Source organism: Homo sapiens, chromosome 12, assembly GCF_000001405.40.
Source record: "Homo sapiens chromosome 12, GRCh38.p14 Primary Assembly".
Taxonomy (NCBI): Eukaryota; Metazoa; Chordata; class Mammalia; order Primates; family Hominidae; genus Homo; species Homo sapiens.
This window is the reverse complement of record NC_000012.12, coordinates 45,360,916-45,384,724: the sequence shown is the minus strand read 5'-3', so window position 1 is coordinate 45,384,724 and position 23,809 is coordinate 45,360,916. Positions and strand designations below refer to the sequence as shown.

The following is a 23,809-nucleotide window of genomic DNA, read 5'->3' as shown; positions in this document are numbered from 1 at the left end:
ATAAGTGATCTTTCTTTGATGTTACTATTGTAATTGTTTTGGGGCAACATGAAGTCCACCTATGTAAGACAGCAAAATTAACAAATGTGTGTGGTCTGACCATTCCACTGACTGGCTGCTTCCCCATCTCTCTGCCTCTCTTCTGGCCTCTCTATTCTTTGAGATGCAACAGTAGTGAAATTAGGCCAATTAATAACCCTACAATGGCTTCAAGGTGTTCAAGTGAAAGCAAGACTCACACATCTCTCACTTTAAATGAAAACTAGAAATTACTAAGTTTAGTGAGGAAGGCATATCGAAAGCTAGGCCTCTTGTGCCAGTTTGCCAAGCTGTGAGTGCAAAGGAAAAGTTCTTGAAGGATATGAAAAGTACTACTCCAGTGAACACACAAATGACAAAAAAGTGAAACAACCTTATTGCTGATACGGAGAAAGTTTTAATGATCTGGATAGAAGACCAAACCAGCCACAATATTCCCTTAGACCAAAGCCTAATTCAGAGCAAGGCCAGAACCCCCTTCCACTCTATGAAGGCTGAGAGAGGTGAGGAAGCTGCAGAAGAAAAGTTTGAAGCTAGCAGAGGTTGGTTCATGAGGTTTAAGGAAAGAAATCATCTCCATAGCATAGAAGTGCAAGGTGAAGTAGCAAGTGCTAACTGGCAGCAAGTTATTCAGAAGATCTAGCTAAGATCATTGATGAAGGTAGCCACACAACAGACTTTCAAGGTAGATGAAATAGCCTCCCATTGGAAGAAGATGTCATCTGGGACTTTCACAGCTAGAGAGAAGTCAACGCCTGGCTTCAGAACTTCTAAGGACAGGCTCACTCTCTTGTTAGGGGCTAATGCAGCTGGTGACTTCATGTTGAAGCCAACGCTCTTAGATCATTCCAAAAACCCTAGGGCCTTTAAGAATTATGTGAAATCTACTCTGCCTGTAATCTAAATGGAACAATAGAGCCTAGATGACAAGCACATCTGTTTATAACATGGTGTGTTGAATTATTTTAAGCCCATTGTTCATAAAAAATTACTCTTTTAAAAAAATTACTGCTCATTGGCAATGCATCCACTCACCCAAGAACTCTGATGGAGATGTACAGAGATTAATATTGTTTTCATGGCTATGAACACAACATCCGTTCTGCAGCCCATAGATCAAGGAGTCCTTTTACATTTTATTATTTAAGAAATACATTTAGTAAGGCCACAGCTGCCATAGATAGTAATTATTTGGCTAGATGTTGGCAAAATAAGCAGAAATCTTCTGGAAAAGATTCACCATTCTAGATGTCATTAAGGACATTTATAATTCATGGGAGGAGGTGAAGATGTCAACATTAACAGAAGTTTAGAAGACGTTGATTCTAACCCTCATGGATGACTTTGAGAAGTTCAAGACTTCAGTGGAGGAAGTCACTGCAGATGTGGTAGAAAGAGCAAGAAGAACTAGAAATGGAGTCTGAAGATGTGACTGAACTGCTGTAGTCTCATGATCAAACTTGAAGGAATGAGAAGTTGCTTTCTATGGATCTGCAAAGAAAGTGGTTTCTTGAGATGGAATCTACTCCTGGTGAAGATGCTGTCATTACTGAAACGACAACAAAGGATTTAGAATATCACACAAACTTAGTAGATAAAGCTGTAGTAGGGTTTGAGAGGATTGACTCCAATTTTCAAAGAAGTTCTACTATGGGTAAAATGCTACCACACAGTATCACATGCTAGAGAACTCTTTTGTGAAAAAAGAGTCCACTGATGTGGCAAACTTCATTGTTGTCTTATTTTAAGAAATTTGCATAGCTACCTAAACCTTCAGCAACCATCCTCCTACCTAATCAGTCAGCAGCCATCAACATCGAGGCAAGACCCTCTCACAGCAAAAAGATTAACACTCTCTAAAGGCTCAGATGATTGTCAGCATTTGTAGTAATAAAGTATTTTTTAATTAAGGTATGTACATTTTTTGACAAATGCTATGCACACTCACTAGACTATAGTATAGTATAACCATAACTTTTATATGCACTGAGAAACAAAAATTTGTGTGGCTCCCTTTACTGTGATACTCGCTTTCTTGTGGTGGTCTGGAACCTTACCCACAGTATCTCTGAGGTAGTCCTGTACCTAGCAAGAGGCCAGGATAACCCTAGATGGAGAATATACCATGAAGCATTGACAGTTTACTGGTGAGATCAAGCTTTAGCACCTTGACTGTGGGGAGGAGTCCAGGGTCAACATGCTGAAGGAATTATCATGGGTACTCTTCTACCTTACAGACTGCAAACATACTCTTCCAGCATAACCATTTTTTAAAGTATGTTGTGACTAAGCACATTAAAATCTTGTTGCACTTTGACACCTACAGGCATAAATGAAAAACTGGTACTTATAAGCCTGTTAAAATTAGGCTGGAAGATGGGTGGTTTCTTATTTTTCCGATAGAAAGAAGGGTCTGCACCTGTGTCACATGAGGTAGAACCAAGGAGACTAAACTGACATTTTCTAACCCATTCTCATTTTTTTCACAGCACCAAAAATAATGCAATTATGTCAGTAAAAACCAAATTATTTCTGCATCTTTCTCAAAGCTTGCTGCAACTTCATTAATATACACTGTATTTTGTCATCAATCTAAAGACTGATAATAGCCAAATTATTGGCAGAACTCTTATTCTATGCTTGTCACTTTCTGTCTGTGGGGCTTTAGGTAATTGGCTTAATCTTCCTGAGTGTCATCTTCTTCATCTTTAAAATCGGAGTGTGATAGCCACTCATTTACTCAGTACCTATCTAGTATCTATCTCAGTATCTATAAGGTATCAACAGGAGATAATTCATGATAATATTCTTAACTTTTCTCACAAAGAGTAACATAAGCAACTCTAGTCGGTGCTATAAGGGAAGAACAGTGGATGTCCTCTTCCCTCCTCCCTGAATTTGAACATACTGGGTAAAATGCTTCTGTTTACGAAATTCTGAACTATAGGAAGCAGTTCTGCCTGGGAAGTGATAGGATTGCAATGCAAGCAAGACATAGTCTGGTGTTAGCAAATCCTCAGCCTTGAAGGAAAACCCCTGGGAATTGCAGCGACAGGTGAGTGTTTTAGTTCCTTATTTCACTCAGCCACAGATTCTGCAGGGTCTATGGAAGGCACTGCTAACCTAGTAGTCATCCAGTGTTTTGGAGTACTCCTGGGCCACGCCAGTGCTGACTCACAATGCTGTGTGTCCCAGATTGAGGGCACCAAGCCCTGGGGTGACCGTGCATGATCACAGACAGAAATTTCTGTTCCGTATCTTTTGCTCTCTCCCCCTGCAATAAGACAACTGATAGAACTTCAGCAGGGAGCAACACACTTCTGTTCTCTGGCAATCCAGAGGTGCTAGCTGATTAGGCACAGTTAAAACTCTTACATCAACATATAATAAGAAAAGAGAAAGGTTGTCTGGAACTTGGGGATCAATAACAGCTCTTCCTCTTAATCAGGATATTACTGTATCTAAACAAAATATGCATCAGATGAAGAAGATGCACATATACATAAAAAGGTTTCAGAGCAGTAAAGTGTTATGGTGTTATATCCTGCATTGTCTAAGGATGAGACACACTCTGGTAGATGGGAATGTTCTGGTTGCTGTAAGAGTTTGCTGCTGAAGGTCTAGGATGTTTTAACGCCTTGAAACCATTTAGGCCTCGTAACCCACAGAGGCAGAGAAGTTAGATTAACTTCCTCAGCCTTTATTGCAACTTTTTTTTTAAGATGGAGTCTTACTCTGTCGCTCAGGCTGGAGTGCAGTAGTGTGATCTCGGCTCACTGCAAACTCTGCCTCCTGGATTCAAGCAATTCTTGTGCCTCAGCCTCCAGTTGGGATTACAGGTGTGCACCATCACACCTGGCTAATTTTTGTATTTTAGTAGAGGCGAGGTTTCACCATGTTGGCCAGGCTGGTTTCAAACTCCTGACCTCAGTGATCCACCTGCCTCAGCCTCCCACAGTGCTGGGATTGCAGGCGTGAGCCACCACACCCAGCCGTTTATTCCAACCTCCTAATTCAAGGGCTAGAAACTCTCTTGCAGCTAGGGTTCCAGATCTGATTTTTTAAAATGCCTCTCAGAAGCATCTGTATGTCACTTAAGTCAGAAACTGGGCTGAACAGAGTCAGGGTGGTGGTAGCAGGAGATGCATTATTTTGCTGGTGTGGACCTAGCAGAAGCAGCACAGGTCTGAAAGTAACAGTCACAGCAGCTGTTTTCTGATCCCCAAGTGCAGCTAGTTAGGCTTCCTGGTTCCCCAGATCCTTAGTGAGCCAGATGACTGGTGGTTTTCTGGAAATAAGTAGGCCTAGTTTAGAACTCACCCCTCAAAGGTGAAAATTAAACATTGCAGTCATGCAGCCAAGTCTGATCCAGGGAGAATCAGGTGTAAGTAGGCAAGATGCAACAAGGAAGGGAGTGGGCAGGATGTGTTTAGAACCTTTACTTCAACCATGGGTTGGTGTTTAGGACTCTATGAATCAGTATGAACAGGTGGGCTGCCTTGTCCTGAAAGGATGGACATTTTTAAGGTACGTATATGATTTATATTATATTGATTACAAAAGGTTTTCTACTCTCAACTTTCATAATTTCTAGGGAGCAGAAAAATAAGTGCCATATGCGTCTGGGCACAAAAAAGATGCTGCAGGAACATAATGGTGGTGATATGAATAACTTCACAAGAGGCTGTAGCCTGTTTGGTTCTGCAATTTCAAACTTTCTGTAAAGTGGTTCACAGCAGTAGTTCTCAAAGCAGAAGTAACAAGGAAAGCCACACAAAGCACTTAAAGTTTATCATACATATCCTTAAAAATATACATACGATGCTATAGGCAGTGCTGAAATACTTTCTGCATTCAAAAATCAGATAAAATCAGCAGCTAATGTGTAAGTCAGTTCTATAACCATGGTGTAGTTAATGATCAGAGAAAGGAAGGTTAGCTAGTAAATTTGAGGCTTGTCTTTCTAGTGTCAAAATTAACATTTTTTGCTTTATTTCAAATGTCTTCTTTAATTGGGGCTATCAGCATCCATTAGTATATGCAGTTTAGTAGATGTGTTAGAATGTTATACATTATGATTCAACGCTGAGAGTACGGTTAATAGTTAAAATGCTGACCCATGTGTTCAGCACCTAAGCTCTTACTGGGCGGAAGGGGAGGGCGGAGAAAGGTGTATTACAATGGAGGAGCACAGAGGATCTTAATACATACATTCAATCTTTATTCTTCTATGGGTCAAATATTAGTCAGAGTTTGGTCTCCAGCCAAAACATGCTAAATGGCTGAATGCCAATGTAACTGACTGGGATGTTTGGCCACCTTACAGTGCACTTTATCTGTGGAGCGGCAACAAATATCTCTAAAAAGTGAGCAAAATAACTGGATTGTCTGTTCTGTGATCCATTTGGTAATTCTTCATAGGCACAATCACTACCAAACAGAAATACTGCTGAGGACACCGTAAATAACTGATTCTGTGAGTTACACACATTGACGTGTTGTCTTTTAAAGAATAAGAAACTTGGTTCAGTTTTTTCCTCTGCCTTCCTATAACCTGAATTCTGTTGTTCCTCATACTTACACAATGAAATTGGAAATGCATCTAATTTTGAAAATGGAAATTTTTCTTCTACGTTAGAACATTCAGATCAATTAAACATTTAAAGTTTGCATTTAAAGAAAATGATAATTGCCTCATTGTATTAATGATTCTATCCCAAAGTAAATAATATATAGTGGTAAAGTTCCCATATGGGAATTAGATCCTGTAGAATTATATCTGTTCTAGTTAGTAAGTAGAGTTTGTTGTTATTATACGAGTAGCAGATACTCATTAAATATCCGCTCACATAGAAGTGTATGAGAAAGAAAGCTCACCCATAATCACTGTGTTGCTGCTTCCTCCTGATCTCCACCCCCATAAAAGTTAGGTTGTATCACACTGTGAGGGCTGTTGCAATAATGGCTTCCAACAAATCATGCCTCCTACATCCAAGCCACTGGGTAGTACTCCCACCGCCCCACATTGATGCTGGTTTGGCCATATGACTTACTTTGGTTGATGGGACATTAGCTAACTTGGTGCAACAATAGGCTTAAAAATGCATATGCACTGAAGCTTGTCCTCTCTTCTCTTTGGAACCCTGAAACCAAGACTCCTGGGCTAGCCTACTTGAAGATGAGACACCATGTGGAGCAGAGAAGCCTTCCCAGCCGAGCCCCACAGACCAAACCGGGTTTCTAGTTGCAAGATCATCTATCCCCAGTGGAGCTGCCAGCTTACTGGAGAGTCAGCTGAGCCAACCCATGCCTGAAGAACTCTCAGCTGACCCAGAGAATGATGAGAAATAATAAACATGAGAAATAAAGTTTGTTGTTTTAAGCCACTATATTTTGATGCAGATTTTAATATAGTAAAAGTTAACTGATAAATGCCCTCAGTTATAAATGGAATTCTAGGGGAGTTGAAGCCTGGGCAATACAAGATCCTAAAAGTGGGTTACTTTGATAGCCTACATAAAACTGTGTAATACTATCAAATTGAGTGCATGAAAAAAAAAAAAAAAACTTACCCCATACTCCCATAAATACTGCAAAGACCAGGGTTCCAAAACTGTCGAAGATGCACAATTTCTGGAAAATATAAATGACATATAAATGAGTCATATCCTCCACTTATTAGGATTCAGTAAATATGAAATGCTTTGTCTATTCTACAGTCTTGAAGTTCTTTTCAAAGGTGATGCCTAGTTTAACAATCATCTATGATCATACATCATTCAATGTATCCACTACATACTTATAGATGAAATTTGATTCTTTTCAAAGCAAAGTCTTTGCTGTATTAACCAGTGTATTTTCCAGTGAAACTCTGCATATCCCAATAAGGAAACAGGTATAGTTCCTAGAATTCCACTGTGTTTAAAGCCTCCATTGGGCTTGAATAACAGCCTCTTATGAGCTGTCATAATGGATTTGAGGAAGCAGTATGGATCTACAAATACAATGATCCCTAAGCAACTTTTAGATATATGATTTACATTTTATCATCATCCCACCCTGGTCAGAGGGTAAGTTTCAGAATTCCTGTTTTTCCTGTTAAGAGACGTACAAAGCTGAGGTTTATCTCGAAGTGGCTCTCCTCCAGGAGAACTCTGTTTTCTTAAACCCAATGATGGCTTTTCTACCATCACTGACAGATGCTTCTATTGGAATAAAGGATGCAGAGGTGCTTTTGCTAACATTACAATGAATACAATGATCATGAATGATAAATAACGTATCTGGCCAAATAAGGCTTTATTTACTAGTTCTGCTAAGTTTTATCCTTTTGCTATTATATATGTAGCCTATCTCCCTCTATGAGTTCCTGGAAAATATTTTAATTCGTTACTAATTTTTCATTAGTGAGCATTTTTACATTTCCTAAAAATTACTATAAAGATAATGGAAAAAGTGACAAGCATATTATATCTACTTTATGACAGATAATATAAAAGGACAGGGACTGGGTAGAAAAGCTATAGGTAAAAAAAAAAAAAACCTTTTCAAATGCTGAAAGAAAATTCAAAGCTGCTTCAAAGTAGAAAAGTCTGCTTTAGGTGATTTTTTGGGTTGCTCTTCATACTCATGTAAAGTGGATAAACCTTCATCTATGTAAAAATATTAGTTATCTTCATAAAAGAATAGCGACATTCTCATCCATCTAATTTTCAAGGCCCCCTCAATCGTCCACATTGATTGTGATGAGAAAGCAAGCATAATCCTAAATTGTCTGTCATCCAATCATTCTTCTTCTTTTTTTTTTTCAATATTCTTTTTTTTTCTTTTATTATTATACTTTAAGTTTTAGGGTACATGTGCACATTGTTCAGGTTAGTTACATATGTATACATGTGCCATGTTGGTGCGCTGCACCCACTAACTCATCATCTAGCATTAGGTATACCTCCCAATGCTATCCCTCCCCCCTCCCCCCATCCCACAACAGTCCCCAGAGTGTGATGTTCCCCTTCCTGTGTCCATGTGATCTCATTGTTCAATTCCTACCTATGAGTGAGAATATGCGGTGTTTGGTTTTTTGTTCTTGCGATAGTTTACTGAGAATGATGATTTCCAATTTCATCCATGTCCCTACAAAGGACATGAACTCATCATTTTTTATGGCTGCATAGTATTCCATGGTGTATATGTGCCACATTTTCTTAATCCAGTCTATCATTGTTGGACATTTGGGTTGGTTCCAAGTCTTTGCTATTGTGAATAATGCCGCAATAAACATACGTGTGCATGTGTCTTTATAGCAGCATGATTTATAATCCTTTGGGTATATACCCAGTAATGGGATGGCTGGGTCAAATGGTATTTCTAGTTCTAGATCCCTGAGGAATCGCCACACTGACTTCCACAATGGTTGAACTAGTTTACAGTCCCACCAACAGTGTAAAAGTGTTCCTATTTCTCCACATCCTCTCCAGCACCTGTTGTTTCCTGACTTTTTAATGATTGCCATTCTAACTGGTGTGAGATGGCATCTCACTGTGGTTTTGATTTGCATTTCTCTGATGGCCAGTGATGATGAGCATTTTTTCATGTGTCTTTTGGCTGCATAAATGTCTTCTTTTGAGAAGTGTCTGTTCATATCCTTCACCCACTTTTTGATGGGGTTGTTTTTTTCTTGTAAATTTGTTTGAGTTCATTGTAGATTCTGGATATTAGCCCTTTGTCAGATGAGTAGGTTGCGAAAATTTTCTCCCATTCTGTAGGTTGCCTGTTCACTCTGATGGTAGTTTCTTTTGCTGTGCAGAAGCCCTTTAGTTTAATTAGATCCCATTTGTCAATTTTGGCTTTTGTTGCCATTGCTTTTGGTGTTTTAGACATGAAGTCCTTGCCCATGCCTATGTCCTGAATGGTATTGCCTAGGTTTTCTTCTAGGGTTTTTATGGTTTTAGGTCTAACGTTTAAGTCTTTAATCCATCTTGAATTGATTTTTGTAAAAGGTGTAAGGAAGGGATCCAGTTTCAGCTTTCTACATATGGCTAGCCAGTTTTCCCAGCACCATTTATTAAATAGGGAATCCTTTCCCCATTGCTTGTTTTTGTCAGGTTTGTCAAAGATCAGATGGTTGTAGATATGTGGCGTTATTTCTGAGGGCTCTGTTCTGTTCCATTGATCTATATCTCTGTTTTGGTACCAGTACCATGCTGTTTTGGTTACTGTAGCCTTGTAGTATAGTTTGAAGTCAGGTAATGTGATGCCTCCAGCTTTGTTCTTTTGGCTTAGGAATGACTTGGCTATGCGGGCTCTTTTTTGGTTCCATATGAACTTTAAAGTAGTTTTTTCCAATTCTGTGAAGAAAGGCATTGGTAGCTTGATGGGGATGGCATTGAATCTGCAAATTACCTTGGGAAGTATGGCCATTTTCACGATATTGATTCTTCCTACCAATGAGCATGGAATGTTCTTCCATTTGTTTGTATCCTCTTTTATTTCCTTGAGCAGTGGTTTGTAGTTCTTCCTGAAGAGGTCCTTCACATCTCTTGTAAGTTGGATTCCTAGGTATTTTATTCTCTTTGAAGCAATTGTGAATGGGAGTTCACTCATGATTTGGCTCTCTGTTTGTATGTTGTTGGTGTATAAGAATGCTTGTGATTTTTGTACATTGATTTTGTATCCTGAGACTTTGCTGAAGTTGCTTATCAGCTTAAGGAGATTTTGGGCTGAGACAATGGGGTTTTCTAGATATACAATCATGTCGTCTGCAAACAGGGACAATTTGACTTCCTCTTTTCCTAATTGAATACCCTTTATTTCTTTCTCCTGCCAAATTGCCCTGGCCAGAACTTCCAACACTATGTTGAATAGGAGTGGTGAGACAGGGCATCCCTGTCTTGTGTCAGTTTTCAAAGGGAATGCTTCCAGTTTTTGCCCATTCAGTATGATATTGGCTGTGGGTTTGTCATAGATAGCTCTTATTATTTTGAAATACGTCCCATCAATACCTAATTTATTGAGAGTTTTTAGCATGAAGGGTTGTTGAATTTTGTCAAAGGCCTTTTCTGCATCTATTGAGATAATCATGTGGTTTTTGTCTTTGGCTCTGTTTATATGCTGGATTACATTTATTGATTTGCGTATATTGAACCAGCCTTGCATCCCAGGGATGAAGCCCACTTGATCATGGTGGATAAGCTTTTTGATGTGCTGCTGGATTTGGTTTGCCAGTATTTTATTGAGGATTTTTGCATCAATGTTCATCAAGGATATTGGTCTAAAATTCTCTTTTTTGGTTGTGTCTCTGCCCAGCTTTGGTATCAGAATGATGCTGGCCTCATAAAATGAGTTAGGGAGGATTCCCTCTTTTTCTATTGATTGGAATAGTTTCAGAAGGAATGGTACCAGTTCCTCCTTGTACCTCTGGTAGAATTCGGCTGTGAATCCATCTGGTCCTGGACTCTTTTTGGTTGGTAAGCTATTGATTATTGCCACAATTTCAGATCCTGTTATTGGTCTATTCAGAGATTCAACTTCTTCCTGGTTTAGTCTTGGGAGAGTGTATGTGTCGAGGAATTTATCCATTTCTTCTAGATTTTCTAGTTTATTTGCATAGAGGTGTTTGTAGTATTCTCTGATGGTAGTTTGTATTTCTGTGGGATCGGCGGTGATATCCCCTTTATCATTTTTTATTGCGTCTCTTTGATTCTTCTCTCTTTATTAGTCTTGCTAGTGGTCTATCTATTTTGTTGATCTTTCAAAAAACATGCTCCTGGATTCATTAATTTTTTGAAGGGTTTTTTCTGTCTCTATTTCCTTCAGTTCTGCTCTGATTTTAGTTATTTCTTGCCTTCTGCTAGCTTTTGAATGTGTTTGCTCTTGCTTTTCCAGTTCTTTTAATTGTGATGTTAGGGTGTCAATTTTGGATCTTTCCTGCTTTCTCTTGTGGGCATTTAGTGCTATAAATTTCCCTCTATACACTGCTTTGAATGTGTCCCAGAGATTCCGGTATGTTGTGTCTTTGTTCTCATTGGTTTCAAAGAACATCTTTATTTCTGCCTTCATTTCGTTATGTACCCAGTAGTCATTCAGGAGCAGGTTGTTCAGTTTCCATGTAGTTGAGCGGTTTTGAGTGAGTTTCTTAATCCTGAGTTCTAGTTTTATTGCACTGTGGTCTGAGAGATAGTTTGTTATAATTTCTGTTCTTTTACATTCGCTGAGGAGAGCTTTATTTCCAAGTATGTGGTCAATTTTGGAATAGGTGTGGTGTGGTGCTGAAAAAAATGTATATCCTGTTGATTTGGGGTGGAGAATTCTGTAGATGTCTATTAGGTCTGCTTGGTGCAGAGCTGAGTTCAATTCCTGGGTATCCTTGTTGACTTTCTGTCTCATTGATCTGTCTAATGTTGACAGTGGGGTGTTAAAGTCTCCCATTATTAATGTGTGGGTGTCTAAGTCTCTTTGTAGGTCACTCAGGACTTGCTTTATGATCTGGGTGCTCCTGTACTGGGTGCATATATATTTAGGATAGTTAGCTCTTCTTGTTGAATTGATCCCTTTACCATTATGTAATGGCCTTCTTTGTCTCTTTTGATCTTTGTTGGTTTAAAGTCTGTTTTATCAGAGACTAGGATTGCAACCCCTGCCTTTTTCTGTTTTCCATTTGCTTGGTAGATCTTCCTCCATCCTTTTATTTTGAACCTATGTGTGTCTCTGCACATGAGATGGGTTTCCTGAATACAGCACACTGATGGGTCTTGACTCTTTATCCAATTTGCCAGTCTGTGTCTTTTAACTGGAGCATTTAGTCCATTGACATTTAAAGTTAATATTGTTATGTGTGAATTTGATCCTGTCATGATGATGTTAGCTGGTGATTTTGCTCTTTAGTTGATGCAGTTTCTTCCTAGTCTCTATGGTCTTTACATTTTGGCATGATTTTGCAGCGCCTGGTACTGGTTGTTCCTTTCCATGTTTAGTGCTTCCTTCAGGAGCTCTTTTAGGGCAGGCCTGGTGGTGACAAAATCTCTCAGCATTTGCTTGTCTGTAAAGGATTTTATTTCTCCTTCACTTATGAAGCTTAGTTTGGCTGGATATGAAATTCTGGGTTGAAAATTCTTTTCTTTAAGAATGTTGAATATTGGCCCCCACTCTCTTCTGGCTTGTAGGGTTTCTGCCGAGAGATCCGCTGTTAGTCTGATGGGCTTCCCTTTGAGGGTAACCCGACCTTTCTCTCTGGCTGCCCTTCACATTTTTTCCTTCATTTCAACTTTGGTGAATCTGACAATTATGTGTCTTGGAGTTGCTCTTCTCGAGGAGTATCTTTGTGGCATTCTCTGTATTTCCTGAATCTGAACGTTGGCCTGCCTTGCTAGATTGGGGAAGTTCTCCTGGATAATATCCTGCAGAGTGTTTTCCAACTTGGTTCCATTCTCCCCATCACTTTCAGGTACACCAATCAGACGTAGATTTGGTCTTTTCACATAGTCCCATATTTCTTGGAGGCTTTGCTCATTTCTTTTTATTCTCTTTTCTCTAAACTTCCCTTCTCCTTTCATTTCATTCATTTCATCTTCCATTGCTGATACCCTTTCTTCCAGTTGATCGCATCAGCTCCTGAGGCTTCTGCATTCTTCACGTAGTTCTCGAGCCTTGGCTTTCAGCTCCATCAGCTCCTTTAAGCACTTCTCTGTATTGGTTATTCTAGTTATACATTCTTCTAAACTTTTTTCAAAGTTTTCAACTTCTTTGCCTTTGGTTTGAATGTCCTCCCGTAGCTCAGAGTAATTTGATCGTCTGAAGCCTTCTTCTCTCAGCTCGTCAAAGTCATTCTCCATCCAGCTTTGTTCCGTTGCTGGTGAGGAACTGCGTTCCTTTGGAGGAGGAGAGGCGTTCTGCTTTTTAGAGTTTCCAGTTTTTCTGTTCTGTTTTTCCCCCATCTTTGTGGTTTTATCTACTTTTGATCTTTGATGATGGTGATGTACAGATGGGTTTTTGGTGTGGATGTCCTTTCTGTTTGTTAGTTTTCCTTCTAACAGACAGGACCCTCAGCTGCAGGTCTGTTGGAGTACCCTGCCGTGTGAGGTGTCAGTGTGCCCCTGCTGGGGGGTGCCTCCCAGTTAGGCTGCTCGGGGGTCAGGGGTCAGGGACCCACTTGAGGAGGCAGTCTGCCTGTTCTCAGATCTCCAGCTGCGTGCTGGGAGAACCACTGCTCTCTTCAAAGCTGTCAGACAGGGACATTTCAGTCTGCAGAGGTTACTGCTGTCTTTTTGTTTGTCTGTGCCCTGCCCCCAGAGGTGGAGCCTACAGAGGCAGGCAGGCCTCCTTGAGCTGTGGTGGGGTCCACCAAGTTCGAGCTTCCTGGCTGCTTTGTTTACCTAAGCAAGCCTGGGCAATGGCGGGCGCCCCTCCCCTAGCCTCGCTGCCGCCTTGCAGTTTGATCTCAGACTGCTGTGCTAGCAATCAGTGAGACTCCATGGGCGTAGGACCCTCCGAGCCAGGTGCGGGATATAATCTTGTGGTGCGCCGTTTTTTAAGCCCGTCAGAAAAGCGCAGTATTCGGGTGGGAGTGACCCGATTTTCCAGGTGCCGTTCGTCACCCCTTTCTTTGACTAGGAAAGGGAACTCCCTGACCCCTTGCACTTCCCGAGTGAGGCAATGCCTCACCCTGCTTCGGCTCGCGCACGGTGCGTGCACCCACTGACCTGCGCCCACTGTCTGGCACTCCCTAGTGAGATGAGCCCGGTACCTCAGATGGAAATGCAGAAATCACCCGTCTCCTGCGTTGCTCAGGCTGGGAGCTGTAGACCGGAGCTGTTCCTATTCGGCCATCTTGGCTCCTCCTCCCAATCATTCTTCTAAAAAACCTCAAGGAAGACAATAAATGCGTGCCTGCTCTGGGGAACAATCCTTTCCACCTACTCCTCTTGTCCAGGGATTCCATAAGACCACATATTTCAAATCTTTTACCTTTGACTCTTATGGAACCATCTTCTCCAAATTAAGTTTTAATGTTATGCCTTATCCTTTATTGTAAAATTATAAGAAAGGTCCCATAAAAAACAGTTCTGCATGTTGTAATACTATTATTGAAGATTCTGTCCAATGCCACTTCCATTTTAGGAGTCAATGCAATCTTCTAAGTATTTGACAACACTCTACTTGCCTTGACACTTCTGCCCACCTACTCCAAAAAGAAGACCCCACCTGTGAATTCTTAGCTCTACTCTTTTGAGAAAATGTCAATGGAAACACATCTGTCAGTGCTAGAGGGTAAAATGGGAGCATTATGAAAGAGCAAGTGTACTGCCAATGTCAAGATCAGTCCAGCTGCCTTGCTCAAGGTGATGGACATGCCTAGCACTCTTATGAGAGGGAGTTAGGCCTGGATGAAGTTCGTATTCTTGCCACATGTGTGAGAATCCTGGACGCTTGAGAAAGAATAAGATGGCTGACTTCTTTGCTCTGTGTTCCATGGACTATGTGGAAGCAGGAAGTAAGGGAAAAAGGAAGCAAGGAGCTTACTGGGTAAGAAGCCTAGCTTAGCTTGCTAGGTGGGATGGCACAGAGAGGGCAAGACAGCTGTGTTAAGAGCGGTCTGAATCAGCATACTGCTTTAGTCACATAGAGCAGGAAAGAAAAGAAAGAGCTGCATATGTAGGCAAGATGATTTTAAGCAGAGAAACCAACTAGAATTTTGGGGGAAAAAAATGAGAATTTGTTATGCTTTCTTCCTGGAAAGCAGCAAAGTCAAAATTTTATAACTAAATATGTTTTTATGAGCAGAATATTAGAACTTACCATGTTTCCCTTTTATCTTGCCAGCTAGAAAGCTAAGAATCTTATTCAATAATCACAAAAACAGTATGAATCCTTATTATTTGTGTAATTGTTTCCTAATTTCATATTTCTATTTTTAATTTGCTAAAAGGTAAGCATATCTGTAAATTAGTACTCTTTCCAAAAGAAAGATGTGTAAATGAATACACAAATAAATGTATGAAGGAAAAAATAATTCACAAACAGAAAAGCCAGAAAAAGTGCTTTTTCTTTTTCAAACTTTTTTTTTTCCATTTAGTCCCCTTACTTATATTCTTTCATGTTTCTTTCTTCTTGAAAATCATTCTGACAAGACTCAAGGGATTCTTCAGGAAACTAGAATAGAATTAAAGATTCAATTTTTTTTTTTCAAAACAAAAAAATGCACACAGGGGTATATTTGAAAGTCATGTGCTTAAGGAGGGTAGGTGGAGCAGAAGAAAGAAGAAGAGGTGGGTGTGGGGAGTGTCGAGAGAACTTCTTAAGGAAAATGAAACTTCCACTTGCATCTTTGTAGATGACAATCTGCCTCTGGTCTTATTGCTGGCATCTGCCTTAAAGCCAGTGCTTCAGGGTACAGCTAACTAGTGCCCTTTAGCCTCTGAGTCAGCATCACTGGAAGCAGCTTCCCTCTTACTAGCTTCAAGTCTTTTACTCTGTGTGATCTACAACAGATATTTATAGTCTAGAGTTTGTGTTGGTTTGGGAGAGGGGGCTTAATTTCTAAATTAAGTGTAAAAATCCATCTGTTGACAACACCCTGCAATCAGCTTAACTAAGTAGTGAAACAATTTCTCAAACAGAGCTGGATCTGAGTAAAGTGCCTGCAATGTCAGCTGGCAAAGAATATGGTAATGACAAGAAATGCAGATTTCTTATAAATTTCTGACTTTGCCAGTTACTAGGCGGGTGACTTTGGGCAGGTTATTTGATCTCCCAGATAGCCAGTATTTTACGCTGTAAAAATGGAGATAATGCCTGTTCTGTCTATCTCACAGGGTTGTTGTATATGTCAAAAGTGGTAAGTATAAGAACTATGCAAAGTATGATATAGAAAGTGGCATCAGTATAACAGCAATACATTCCGTTAAAATCTGACTTACATGGAGTAGGCTACAATGTTCTAGGGATACTAATGATTCCTAAACTCTCATGGTAGAACAAGGGGATAGAGAGAAGATCATCGGAGGGAAGCGTAGGTCAGGATTGTAAGGAAAATGCTCTGAAATAAGCTGACCATCTATCTGTCCAGAGTTTCCAGCCTGCTTTCAGTAAGCTCCCTCCATTCTTCATGCTCGTCTGAAACCTCCCAAATTTTAAGAAGTCATAAAGCTCACGACCATCTGCATGTATAAGGAGAGCTAGATGTGTTTTCTGGCAATGTTTTAAGACAAATACCTTTTATCACATATAAAACCCTTCTCATGCATAGTTATAGAGACAGTCTAAATCTGACCATCAGGGTCTTTACAATCTAAGCATAGTTTTGGCATATGTTGAAAGGGGGAAAACAGAAGTACAGATTTCAGGTTTCCACTTAATTGAATTAAGGAAAATACTTACACAGGTTGAGTATCCCAAATCCAAAGCTTTTTGAGTACTGACATAATGTTCAAAGGAAATGCTCAAGGCAGCATTTCAGATTTTGGAGTTTTGGATTAGGGACGCTCAACCCGTAAGTCTAAGGCAAATATTCCAAAATCCAAAATTCAAAACACCTTGGATCCCAAGCATTTCAGATAATGAATACTCAACCTGTAGTGAATCTATTAAAAAGTATTTATAAGATAAAATGGGTTTGAGATTTCTGCTTTGATTACTTGAAATACTCAAATAGTTTAGATTCCACTATTATCTCACTGACACTCTATGAGATTTTATCTAAGGTCTTAAATCACAATTTTATTATTTGTAAAAGAGGAATAAAGCATTGTATATTAATGTCCAGAATGTTTGAAAGGTTAGTTGAAAAATATCTTAATTCCTCAGAGGAAAAAAGATACAATACTATGTTTTATCTAAATTAGCATTAGAAAAAAAATCTTTCATTAGGTGTAAATATTGGCAATAGCAAAAATTACCTTTGAGGACTCGCAAGTAATATTGAGTTTCCAGAATGGACAAAGCCTATCACACTGAGGACACATTATGATCTTGCCACCAATATCAGGATGACAAACTTCTTTGCTAAAAAGAGAGAAATAAAACTTAATTTTAAAAAATTTAAAGCAGCATGATAAAATCTAATATCCATTCACAATAAGAAACAAAACTAAACCGATCTTGTAAAACTAGAAACAGAAGTGAACTTCTGTTACATAAAACTTTGTTACATAAAATTCATTAAAAATCATACTAAATGGTAAAACGCTGAAAGTAATTCCTTTAGGTCAGGAATAAAGCAAAAGATTCTGCTATCACTGTTTCTTTTCAGCTGGAGGTCTCTGCCAGCATTGTATGTCAAGTAAAATAAGGCCACAAGGATAGGCCAGGAAGAAAGAGAACTGTTATTACTAACAGATTACATGATTATCTATATAGATGACTTAATAGACCCTAAAGATAAATTATTAGAATTAATAAGTTGAGTAAAGGCCAGGTGCAGTGGCTCATGCCTGTAATCCCAGCACTTTGGGAGGCCGAGGTGGGTGAATCACCTGAGGTCATGAGTTCAAGACCAGCCTGGCCAACATGGCAAAACCCTGTCTCTACTAAAAATACAAAAATTAGCAGAGCATGGTGGTGCGTGCCTGTAATCCCAGCTACTCGAGAAGCTGAGGCAGGAGAATTGCTTGAACCCGGGAGGTGGAGGTTGCAGTGAACTGAGATCATGCCACTGCACTCCAGCCTGGGTGACAGAGTGAGACTCTGTCTCAAAAAACAAAACAAAACAAAACAAAAATAAGTTCAGTAAAGTTGGCTGGATGCAAAATCAATATACAAAATACACACAGGGATACAAAAAGGAATTATGTCCCCATACACCTGTAATCATTAGGAAATAATTCTTAAAAAGTACCATTTCAATAGTGTAAAAAATATAAAGTGTTCAAGAATAAATCTAATTCAAACTATGTTAAGATTTATAGGGAGAAAATAGAATTTTTCTGAAATGCAGTAAAGAAGGCCTACACTACCATATTCACAATTTGTAATAATCAATATTTAAAGATATTAGTTATCTCCCATTTAAGCTATAAATTCAGTGGAAAAGCAAAGGCTCAGAACAGTCAAAATACTTCTGAAGACAAAGGCATTATGGGAGAGGTTAAGAAAAATTGACCAACAGAAGAAAATAAAGACGTCAGAAACAGACCTCTTGCCTATATAAAAACTGATTTATACCAAAGCTGGCCAAGCAAATTAGTAAAGTGAGAACTGACATTTCAATAAAACGGGTCTGGTACAACAGGATATCCATATGAACAAACATAAAATTGAACCTGTAATCATATTCTATATACATCAATTCCAGGTAGAAAATGAGAATGCCAACGTACCAACTTATTAGAAAAAAAAATGTAGATAACCTCAGAGTAAGGAGAATTGCATAAACAAGAAACGAAACAGCATAAACCACAAAGAAAAATATTGATACATTCAAGATATTTTAAAAGAATGTCATTAAAAAATAACATTAAAGGGAGAAAAATATAAGCCACAAATTGGTAAAAGTTTTGCAGACATAAAAATGACAGGATTATTTGTCAGAGTATTTAAAGGACTCCTACAAATTAATACCAAAAAAAAAAAAAAAAACCCAAGTAACATTGCACGCTGCTCCCTTTGGAGAAGCCATTCAGATAGGCTAGGCTTGTATGTAACTAGGACTGGAGCTGTGCAGTTAGGTGGTCTTACAAATAACTAAGGAAAAACAAATAGGAATGGGAAGCTTTCCTAGAATAGCTGAGTAAAGATCTTGGAAAACCCTCTCCCTCCATAAAAGCAATGAGAACACTGGCAAAAATTGTCAAAATCAGCCTTTGCAGAACTCTGGAAATTAACCAAGTGCTTGATGTCATCTGAGGAGCAAGTGCTTCATGTCATCTGAGGAGCAAGTGCTTGATGTCATCTGAGGAGCATTTATTTGAGGAAAACTGGCTAAATCTCTATAAGAATGATGACACCTGTTAACCTCACTGATTCCCATCCCCATCTCCCTAGCTTCATGGTAGCCTTAAAAACCAACAGCCTTGTAACTATAGAAGCTGTGAAAAATAGCAGCCTAGCAGCCACTGAAGGGGGAAGAAGTAGTCTAAAGCTACCCCCAAAACCCCATCCTCAGAGAAGTCTTACTATTTGACCTGCCTAGCAGCTCCCCCAAAAAGCTCCATGCGCAGGATTTGCCATTCTTTTTAAACCTCATACTCAGAGCTCATACTGTGAACAGCACTATCACCAAAGTGTTGAAAGCAATCGGCAAGAATTATTTTACATTGTAGCTGCTTGAGGCAGTGATACCGTAACAAGAGGTCAACCAAAGAACTTAAAAGGAAAAATTAGGAAATGAGATGTGCACAGGGGGCTCTAAAAAGCTCCAACATATTCCTGAGATTGCAGAAGGCCATGCACATGTGTAGGACAGTGCACATGGCCAAGAAAGACATGAGAAAACCTTAATCCCTTACCTCTGGCTGACTTTGAGGTTCTGCACTGGCAAGAAAAAAAAGCTAAGGAAGAGCTGAAAACTACCTGCTGGAGCGTTAAACACATTTCCTCAATACACACTCACACACAGCCATGAGATGAGGCAAAGGCAGAGAAACGAAAATTACTGGTACTAGGCATTTAATGCAGTCACCAGCTAATCCAATCATTAGCTAACAACAAAACTTATTGAACACAGACTTAAGTGGTCACACATGACAAAGACAAGTAGTTCAGGAAAGTAAACAAAGGGAAGCAGCAGTAACAGTGATAATAATAAACGGAAGCAACAACAAACCCTGAACAGGGAAAATACCTGATTTCCAGATTTGCTACATTATAATACTTAAAATGTCCAGTTCTCAATGTAAAATTACAAGATACACCAAGAAATGGAAAACTATGGTCCTAACACAGAGAGGAAAAAGCAGTCAGTAAAACTGTCCCTGAGGACACCCAGATATTGCATTTATTAGATGAAGTCTTTTTATATTTAGCAGTTATACATATTTGGAGAACTAAAGGAAATCTCACCTAAAGAATTAAAGGAAGCACAACAAAGAGAATATCAATAGAGATAGGAATTATTAAAAAGAACCAATTAGCAAAGTACAATAACTAAAATAAAAAAATCATTAGAAGGGCTCCTCGGCAGATATGAAATAGCAGAAGAATCAGCAAATTGAAAGCTAGGAATATTAAAATTATCCAATCTGAGAAATGGAACAAAAAAGGAATGAGGACAAAGGAACACAGTCTCAGAAATTAGTGGGATACCATCAAATATACCAACACATACATTATAGAAGTCCCAGAGAAAAAAGGAGAGAAACAGAAATAATATTTGAAGAATCAATGGCTGAAAACTTCCTACATTTAATGAAAGCACTATTTTGCATATCCAGGAAACTCAACAAATTCCATGTAGGATAAACTCAAAGAGATCCAAACCTAGGAGTATCACATTCAAAGTGTAAAGACAAAGCCAAAGAAATCATGGCAAAGAATGATGATAGCAGGAAGAGAAAAGTGATTCATCACATATAAAGGGTCCTCAGTAAGATTAGCAGCTAACTTTTCATAAAAACCATGGAGGCCAGAGGCAGTGGGATGATATATTCAAAGTGCTGAAAGAAAGACTGTCAACCAAGTATTCTATATCCAGCAAACCCATCCTTCAAAAATGGAGAAATTAAGACATTCCCAGATAAATAAAATCTGAAAGAATCTGTTGTTGGCAGAGACCTGCTATATTAGTCTGTTTTCACACTGCTGATAAAGACATACCTGAGACTAGTTCATTTATAAAGAAAAAGAGGTTTAATGGACTCACAGTTCCACATGGCTGGGAAGGCCTCACAATCATGGCAGAAGGCAAAAGGCATGTCTTATATGGAGGCAGGCAAGAAAGAATGAGAGTCAAGTGAAACGCGTTTCCCCTTATAAAACCATCAGATCTTGTGAGACTTATTCACTACCATGAGAACAATATGAGGAAAACTGCCCACATGATTCAATTATCTCCCACCAGGTCCCTCCTACAACATGTGGGAATTATGGGAGCTACAATTTGAGATGAGATTTGGGTGAGGACACAGCCAAATCATATCAGCTGCCCTACCAGAAACACAGACTGAACACCCTTTTTTCTTTTTTTTTTTTTTGAGACAGAGTCTCACTCTGTTGCCCAGGCTGGAGTGCAGTGGCGTGACTTCGGCTCCCTGCAACCTCCGCCTCCCGGGTTCAAGCGATTCTCCTGCCTCAGCCTCCCAAGTAGCTGGGACCACAGGCGCATGTCACCATGCCCGGCTAAGTTTCTGTATTTTTAGTAGAGATGGGGTTTCACTGTGATAGTGAGGATGGTCTCAAACTCCTGACCTCGTGATCTGCCACCCTCAGCCTCCCAAAAGTTGTGGGATTACAGGCGTGAGCCACCGCACTCAGCCCAGATTGAACACCTTTAATTCAAAAATCTGAATCTGAAATGGTCCAAAATCTAAAACTTTTCAAGTGCTGACATAATATTCAAGGAAAATGCTCAGTGGAGCATTTTGGATTTGGGATGCTCCAATGGTAAGTATAATGCAAATTTTCCAAAATCTGAAAAAAATCTGAAATCTGAAACGCTTCTGGTCCCAAGCATTGTGGACAAGAAACACTTAACCTATACTAAGAGAGTCCTTCAGGCTTAAATAGACACATGACAGTAACTCAAATCCACCTACAGAAAAAAAAAGCAGAGATAGAACTAACTACATATATAAATATGAAAAGTAGTATATTTTTGTATGTCTCTATTTTCTTCTATCTTATTTAAAAGACACAAAGCAACAATTATGAAACTGTTGGTAAGCTTATAATGCATTAAGTTGTAATTTGCATGATGATAATACCACAAAGGAGTAGAGAAGGAACAGATCTGTACCAAAGTAAAGTTTTTGTGTACTATTTGAAATTAAAATTGCCATTAATTCAAACTATATTATTTTAAATTAAGTTGTTAATTATAATCCCCAGGGAAGCCACTAAAAAAAGATAAAGAAACAATAATGGAATTAAAATGGCATACTAGAAATATCTATTTAACACACAAAAAAAGTAGTAATGAAGGAATAGAAAAACAAGAGACAAAAAGACACATGGAAAACAAATAGCAAAATGGCAGGTTTAACTCCTACTTCATGAGTAATTACATTAAATATAAATGAACTAAATATTAAAATCAAAAGGCAACAAGTGGAAATAAATGAAATACAGGACAGAAAAGTAACAAAAAAATCAACTAAACAAAGTTGGTTCTTTGAAAAGATAACAAAATTGGCAAACTTAGCTAGGCTGATCAAGAAAAAAAGAAGACTCAAAGGGTTAAAATCAGAAATGAAAAGGGAAACATTACTGTTACTCTTACAAAAATAAAAAGGATTATAAGGGGATACTATGCATAATTATAAGCCAACTAATTAGACAACTTAGATAAAATGGAAGAATTCCTAGAAAAATATGTACTACTTAAGGTAACTCAAGCAAAAATAGAAAACTTGAATAGACCTATTTTTAACAAATAAAGAGACTGGACTAACAGAAAAAAAATAATTCCTGCAAAGAAAAGCCCAGTCTCAGATGGTTTCACTGATGAATTCCACCTACCATTTAAAGAAGAATTAACACCAATGTTTCATAAACTCTTTTAAAAACAAAGAAGAGGGAACACTTCTCAACTCATTCTATGCGACTGGTATTATGCTGATACCAAAACCAAAGACAACATAAGAAAACTAGAGACCTAATATCTCTTGCAAATATAGATGGAAAAATCTTCAATAAAATACTAGAAAACCAAATCCTGCCATATAAAATAAGTACTACATACTATGACCAAGTGGGATCTATCCAGGAATGCAAGGATGATTCAAAGTACAAAAGTTATCAATTCTTGTAATATACCATATTAATAGAATAACGAACAAAAACTACACACAAGATAATGTCAATAGACACAGAAAGAGCATCTGGCAAAATCCAACATCATTCCATGATTAAAAACACTCATAAACTAGGAATAGAACTTTCCCAACCTGATAAAGAGTATCAATGAAAAAACCCACACCTAGTATCACACTTAATGGTGAAAGACTGAATGCTTTCCTCCTAAGATCATTATATTGGAGGTTCTAGTCAGGACAACTAGGTAAGAAAAAATAAAGTCCTCCAAATTGGAAAGGAAGAAGTAAAACTACTTCTGTTCACAGACAGTATGACATCGTATATAAAAATCCTAAGGAATCCACCCAAAATACTATTAGAGCAAATAAGCCAGTTTAGCAAGGTTGCAGCACACACACAAAAATCAATATACAAAAAAGCAATTACATTTCTATACACTACAATAGGTAATCCAAAAGTTAAATTAACGAAACAATTTATAATAGCATCAAAAGAACAATGTACTTAGAATAAATTTAAGAGAAAAAACAAGTATGAGACTTACACACTGAAACTATAAAATATTGTTGATAGAAATGAAAGACCTAAATAAATGAAAAGACATCCTGTGTTCAGGGATTAAAAGACTTAATATTGTTAAGATGGCAATACTCTCCAAACTGACCTATGGAATCAACATTATTCTTATCAAAATCCTAGAAATAGATAAGCTGATCCTAAAATTCATACGGAAATGCAAAAGACCCAGAACAGCCAAAACAATCTTGAAAAAGAAAAACGAAAATTTGAAGTTTACAAAGTTACAGTGATAAATAAAGTGTGGTACTTGCATAAAATGCAGACATGTAGATCAATGGAAAACAACTGA

General features: G+C 38.5%; 1 protein-coding gene across 6 annotated transcripts in view, besides 1 other annotated feature; it reads right to left on the bottom strand.

The window, feature by feature from the left end:
* The window catches only part of ANO6 (anoctamin 6), a 224,310-nt gene that overhangs the window by 55,680 nt on the left and 144,821 nt on the right, over positions 1-23,809 (bottom strand). For all 6 annotated transcript variants that reach the window (NM_001142679.2, NM_001204803.2, NM_001025356.3 and 3 more), the window contains 2 exons: positions 16,932-17,037; positions 6,612-6,672 (listed from right to left, as the gene is read on the bottom strand). In NM_001142679.2, coding sequence (NP_001136151.1) covers positions 6,612-6,672; positions 16,932-17,037 — 167 coding nt within the window. The remainder of the gene's footprint in view (positions 1-6,611; positions 6,673-16,931; positions 17,038-23,809) is intronic.
* Positions 13,026-13,563: an enhancer, noted in NCBI's record as "H3K27ac-H3K4me1 hESC enhancer chr12:45764945-45765482 (GRCh37/hg19 assembly coordinates)". NCBI's record gives its function as "activates a minimal SCP1, AML or CMV promoter by ChIP-STARR-seq in naive and primed H9 embryonic stem cells {active_cell/tissue: H9 hESC(naive and primed)}" and the evidence as "EXISTENCE:reporter gene assay evidence [ECO:0000049][PMID:30033119]".